Source organism: Homo sapiens, chromosome 15, assembly GCF_000001405.40.
Source record: "Homo sapiens chromosome 15, GRCh38.p14 Primary Assembly".
Lineage (NCBI taxonomy): Eukaryota > Metazoa > Chordata > Mammalia > Primates > Hominidae > Homo > Homo sapiens.
In genome coordinates, this window is record NC_000015.10 from 24694522 (window position 1) to 24701056 (window position 6535).

At 37.0% G+C, this 6535-nt stretch overlaps 2 annotated features.

Moving 5' to 3' along the window:
* Positions 1837 to 2384: an enhancer, noted in NCBI's record as "H3K27ac hESC enhancer chr15:24941505-24942052 (GRCh37/hg19 assembly coordinates)". NCBI's record gives its function as "activates a minimal SCP1, AML or CMV promoter by ChIP-STARR-seq in primed H9 embryonic stem cells {active_cell/tissue: H9 hESC(primed)}" and the evidence as "EXISTENCE:reporter gene assay evidence [ECO:0000049][PMID:30033119]".
* Positions 2385 to 2931: an enhancer, noted in NCBI's record as "H3K27ac hESC enhancer chr15:24942053-24942599 (GRCh37/hg19 assembly coordinates)". NCBI's record gives its function as "activates a minimal SCP1, AML or CMV promoter by ChIP-STARR-seq in primed H9 embryonic stem cells {active_cell/tissue: H9 hESC(primed)}" and the evidence as "EXISTENCE:reporter gene assay evidence [ECO:0000049][PMID:30033119]".

Here is a 6535-nt window from a genome sequence, read left to right on the forward strand (position 1 = left end):
TTAAGAAAAATCTAAAGAAAAGAATAATATCTTTGCCAATCAATTACACATACAATAGCATTATTTTATAATTACAATAAAATCCTTTATAGAATTATAAAGTTTTATTCACATAAAAATTAAAGCAAAATTTAAATAACTCATAAATTAATCCATAAATATATTGGTATTCTGATTCTGATTGTTATGAATCATATTTTCATCCAGAGTTACAGGTGGTATAACATCACCCACTGGTATGAAGAATTATAGCAATGAAACATTGCTTTATAAAGGAGGCTGCACCATTGCCTGTGTGATTTCTGCCTTTCCTATTAACACACATTCTTCAAATTATAATGCAGGTGAACTTTATTTATGCAGCTGAACTTTCCAGAAGATGACAGCATAAGATGTCAGGGGAAATTGTTCCATGTGCAGACACTGAAAACTATGCCATGGCTGCCACCAGAGTAATAATAATTATGATAAAATGTGAAAAAAGTACTAAAAGAGGTGAAATGTGGTAACTGATACAGACACAAAAATACCTATCAAGAGAGCATATTGATAAACTGAATCTTAGAATCTTAGAGCACAAGAAGACTTTCCTTGATCTCAGAGGACAAACCTGTCCAAAAGGATAAGAAGTACAAATCGTTGAGAATTAGCATGGTCCATAGCAGGTCTCTATGGTGGTTTGAGAATGGTGCGGCTGGAGAAGAGACTGGCTGAGGGAAAAGTCAGGGCTCACATCCTGTCCTCAGAACAGAAGAAAGTAAAAAAAAAAAAAAAGGTTAATCTTCAAGTTCAAAACCCCTTCAGATTGAAAGAATGTTGGAGTTTATTGGGAAAAATATAGGTGAAGAATTTGAGAGATTCATTCATTAGTGAAATCCAGTATAAAGGATAATTTTCTGTTGTTCTTTGTCCACTACCTGTGTGGAGTTTGTAAGGGAGCCACATCGACAAAGTATTCATATTCTCTGGTATTTCAGTTCAGTGGGTATTGAAAAAACTTAACAGAAATATGCACTATAGGTGAAAGAGCTGCCCTTGAGAACTCAGGGCAAAGGCATCAGACCTGGAATGGGATGAACAAAGGAGACCTGTAGGAGGAGGAACATTGGAGGAGATTCTGGAAAGTGAGAATCAGTGAGTCCAGCAAATGGGAAGGAAAGAGGAGAAAGTGTGTCTGTGGCACAGGCCAAGCCATGAGAAGGGGCAGTGGATTGGAAGGACTACTGGGATCAGTAATATATGAGGACAGGAGCAGGAAGGGCAGACCATGGAGGGACTGAGGATAGACACAATGGATACGTTTCTTCATTAACATACACATGTTCACACATCTATGTCTCCATCTTCTCTTACATGTTCTTTGATATTCTCATGCAAACCTCATGGTATTCTCGTGTGTCTCGGCAAAACATATATGACTTTACTATTTCCATCACAGGGCCTCTTTTAAATTATATACATAGCAATTGCTACCGACCTAAATTTCTTTGGTGAATTATTTATATGTACAGTATTTGCCTACTTAGTAAACAAACAAACAAACATCCCCCTGTGAACCCAAAATATCTGAGATAGATCTCAACGAATTTAGGAAGATTATTTTGCCAAGGTTAAGGATGTGCTTGTGACACAGCCTCAGGAGGTCCTGACAACATGTGCCCAAAATGGTCGGGGCACAGCTTGCTTTTATCCATTTTAGGGAGTCATGAGACATCAGTAAATATGTGTAAGATGTACATTGGTTGGGTCAGGAAAAGCAGGACAACTCGATGTAAGAGGCTTCCAGACCATAGGCAGATAAGAGACAAAAGGTTACATTTTTTTGAATCCTTGGTCAGCCTTTCACTGAATACACAATTTAGTCTGGCTCGGTGAATCTGCATTTTTACATAAACAATAGGGCAGAGGAAGCAATCAGATATGCATTTGTCTTAGGTGAGCAGAGGGATGACTTTCTGTCCCACACCTGTGACGATAAGCTGTCAGTTTACATTGCCAGGGTGAAATTCAACAGAACTGTTTTAGAGTAGAAATCTTGAGGCCCACAAGGAATGTTCTTGTGGGCAAATTGTGAGGAGGATGTGTAGCTTTAGCTTTGTAGCTATCTTATTTAGGAATAAAATGAGAGGCGGGTTTGTCTGACATCGTTCCCTGCTTCACTTTTCCCTTGGCTTAGTGAGTCTAGGGTCCCAAGATTTATTTTCTTTTCACACCACTTTAGTATGCTTTTGGTTGATCATTTCTGACAAGAAGTATCTCCTCATTTCATGGGGGAGTCACCTCTGTATGCTCTTGTCAGGTTCACGACTATGGCAATTGTCACGCCAGGGGTCGGGTTCCAGCCCATGCTGAGGTCCTAAGGGAGTGGGTGGATGAGCAGAAAGAACACTTGGGGGGCCGTAGGCAGGTGAAAGATGATTTTATTCAGTAGCAACTCTCATTAACAGCTTTCTCACACTGTCCAGCCTGTCTCATCTGCTTAGTGCTGCGGCCCCCACACACAGCTGCGCAGCCAGCTCTGCCTTGCCTTCAGGGTCAGCAGCTTAACCCTTTCTCTCTCTGGGCACAAGCGAGCCTAGCTGGATCCTGGCTTCCCTCTGTCCGTCTGCAAAGACGGACAGCTCTGGCTCCCTCTCTTTCTCTGGGTGCTAGTGTGTCTGCACAGTGTTAACAGAACAATTACACCTTTTACGGACAATAGTGGCATAGAGACAAGTAATGGCCTTCCCATGTTATGGCTACATGGCTGTGATAAGAAGTGGAGCTACATGCCTGCACTCTAAACTCGCTAAGTCATGCAGGATGTAAACATCCTACCTCGGCCGATCCTTGACCAAAGCACAGCCATGTTCCTTACAGCTCTTAAGCGAGGGTTTTGTTTGGGATGTTGTGTTTTCCTTCTTAATTTTGGATGCTTTTATGTTCTGCAGACTATTAAGCTATCAATATTTATTCCAAAATTCCAATTGCTTTATCTTTCATCTTGTTTTTGCTTTCTTTACAGTAAATATATTTCCTTCTAAGTTCTGCTTTCATTGCATCTCACATATTTTGGTAAGCTGTATTTTCACTTTTATTTATTTTATAAAAGTTTTTATTTCTCTTGAGATTTTTTCTTTGGGTCACATTGTATTTAAGAGTATAATGTTTAATCTCCGTGTATTTTGGGATTTTCCAGTTATCTTTCTGTTATTGATATCTAGTTTAATTTCATTGTTGTCAGAGAGTATATATTGTACAATTTTGATTCTCTTAAATATTTTAAGATGAGCTTTGTGTTCTAGAATATGTTTATTTTGGGGAAGATTCTGTGTGGGCTAGAGGAGAATGTATATTCTGCCTGTTGTTGAATTAAGTGATCTATAGATATAAGTTATATCCATATGAGTGATAGTGTTGAGTTCAAATATGTCCTTACTGATTTTGTGTCTGCTGTATGTTTCCATTTCTGATAGAGAGGTGTTGAATTCTCCAACAATAGTGAATTCTTCTGTTTTTCCTTACAATTCTCTCACTTTCTGCCGCACATAGTTTGATACTCTATTATTACCTGTATACATGTTCAGGATTGTTAAATCTTCTTGAACAATTGACCCTTTTATTATTACCTAATGCTTTTGTTTATCCTTGATAATTTTGCTTGCTTCAATGTCTGTGCTGTCAAAAATTAACACAGATACACGTACTTTCTTTTAATGCTAGCATGATATATTTGTTTCATCCTTTTACTTCTAATTTGTATGTATCTTTATATTTTAAGTGAGTTTCTTGTAAACAACTTATACTTTAGTGTTTTTTTAATCCACTCTGACAATCTGTGTCTTTTAATTGGTGTTTTTATTTTTTATTTTTATTTTTTTTTTGAGACGGAGTGTTGCTCTGTCGTCCAGGCTGGAGTGCAGTGGCGCGATCTCAGCTCACTGCAAGCTCCGCCTCCCGGGTTCAAGCCATTCTCCTTTCACAGCCTCCTGAGTAGCTGGGGACTACAGGCGCCTGCCACCACGCCCGGCTAATTTTTGTATTTTTAGTAGAGACGGGGTTCACCATGTTAGCCAGGATGGTCTCAATCTCCTGATCTCATGATCCGACCCCTCCCAAAGTGCTGGGATTATAGACGTGAGCCACCGCTCCCAGCCTAATTGGTGTATTTTGACAATTGGCATTCAATGACATTATTGATATAGTTGGGTTAATCTCTACCATCTTTTAGTTATTGCCCTTGTCTTTCTTCCAGTCGTTCCCTGCTTTTCATAGTTTAATTTGAGCATTTTATATGATTCAGTTTTCTCTCTTTTCTTAGCATATCAGTAATACTTCTTTGTACGTTTTTAGTGATTACCGTAGGGACTATTTTTTATTTAGTAGGTTTATTCTAAGAGATAACGCTTGGTAAAATAACAATAGCAACAATGTATTTGATTAGGTATACTAATGTATGTTATATATATAAACACATATACATAAATATTTATAGAAGTATGCTTATATATAAGTGAAACTCATGAAAGAATTTATAGCAAGAATGGAAGGAAAGAATTGGGGTATTCTGTTATAAAGTGTTGACACTACCTCTGAAGCAATATACTCTTATTTGAAAGGGAAATTGGATTAGCTTTAAATGTAATATTGCAAAGTATCGGTCAAGCTGTTGGACCAGGAGCCTCAGTTCCTTGCTGGCTGTTGGTCTGAGGCTGAATTCAGTTCCTTCCCATGTTGGCTTCTCCCAAATGGCAGAATGCCTCATCAAAGCCACTAAAGGAGAGAGTTTGCTAGCAAGACAGAAATCACAATCTTGTGTAGCATAATCATCCAAGTGACATCCCAGCACCTTTGCAATATTTTGCTGTTTACAAGCAACTCACAGTGTCTGTCCAAACTCAGGATGAGACTATTAGAATACAAGGTTGTGTTTACCAATAAATTGGGATAATTGGGTGCCATGCTAGAGTCTGCCTGCCATATGAGGTCTTCTCCAATCTGCAACATTTTTTCAGACTTCACATATTTTAAATAACGTTGATGTGTTTGAAAAGAACTGGTTGGATATTTTGTAGAATGTCCCGCAATATAGATCTATCAGATCATGCTTGGACTAAGGTTATGGCTTAATTTAGACGCTCATGTTTATCCAAATTTGAAGACAAAATACCAAGCAATATACTATTTGCAAATATAAACTAAAAGATAAAAATAATTAAAGAAAAATAAGGGAATGACAAATAGACAATTCAAAATAACAGTAATCTTCCCCAGGCGAGGAAACAAATGCAACTTGGATATGCACACATGGGGCATCAACAATATTGATAATGTTCTGTTTATTAAGTTTGGCAGTAACTGACAAAAAGGCAAACTTTTCTATTTTAGAATAGTTTTAGATTTACAGAACAGTTGCAAAGACAGTACACAGTATTTACACATACCATACATACAGTTTCCTTTATTATTTTCCTCATACATTAACGTGGTATATTTATCATAATTAGTGAATCATTAGGACACATTATTATTCATTAACTTCCTAACTTTTTTCAGATTATCTTACTTTTTACTTAATGTCCTTTTTCTGTTTCAATATCCTACCTAAGCTCCCACATCACATTTAGATATCATGTCTCCCTTAGGCTCCAAAGGTTACGGTCAACTAATTTTATAAGGTTGTCAAGGAAATTCAGAATGAAATATTTATCTATCTATCTATCTATCTATCTATCTATATGTATTCTGAGACTCTTTTTTTATGAAATTGACATACCTAAATTTGGATTTCTCTGATATTTTTCTCATAATTTAAGTATACTTACATTAATTTATCTATTTTGTTGCTCAAATTGTTCCAGTGTTGGTCCTTGGAAGGTCTTTTATATGATTCCTATACCATTTTGAAATACCTAGATCATTATGGTTTGGTTGGTTGTCTGTTTCATTGGTTTGATTTGTTGTTTAGCATTTTCTTATTTTTATTCATTACAAGGTACTTCTGGTTAATTTGCTTGGTTTCCTGCCCAATCCTAGTACACACCATTTCTGCATGAAGTTCTAATTCCTTTTGCTCATGAATGGTATTAGAAGCAACCATTTGGCCAGTGGATGTACTCATTGCTACAAAGAAAAGGATATTAATTCTAGATTTTGTCATCTGAAATAGCAAAAGAAAGAGCCTTTTATCTATCTCTATAATTCCACCTTTCCAGAGTGTCATATAAATGGATTTATACATTGTGTAGTCTTTACAAACTAGCTTTGTTCCACTGAAGCATATGCCTTTTATATTTGTGAAGTGTATCTCATGATGATGTAGATTTGCATTTCACTAAGGACTAAAAATGATAAGCATATTTTTATGTGTTTATTGGACATATCTAAAGAGGTTTTGTAAAAATATATATTCACACAATCTACCCACTTTTAATTATAATATTTTATTTTTCGCCAGGTGTGGTGGCTCACGCCTGTAATCCCAGCACTTTGGGAGGCCAAGGCGGGTGGATCACCTGAGGTCAGGAGTTGGAGACCAGCCTGGTCAACATAGTGA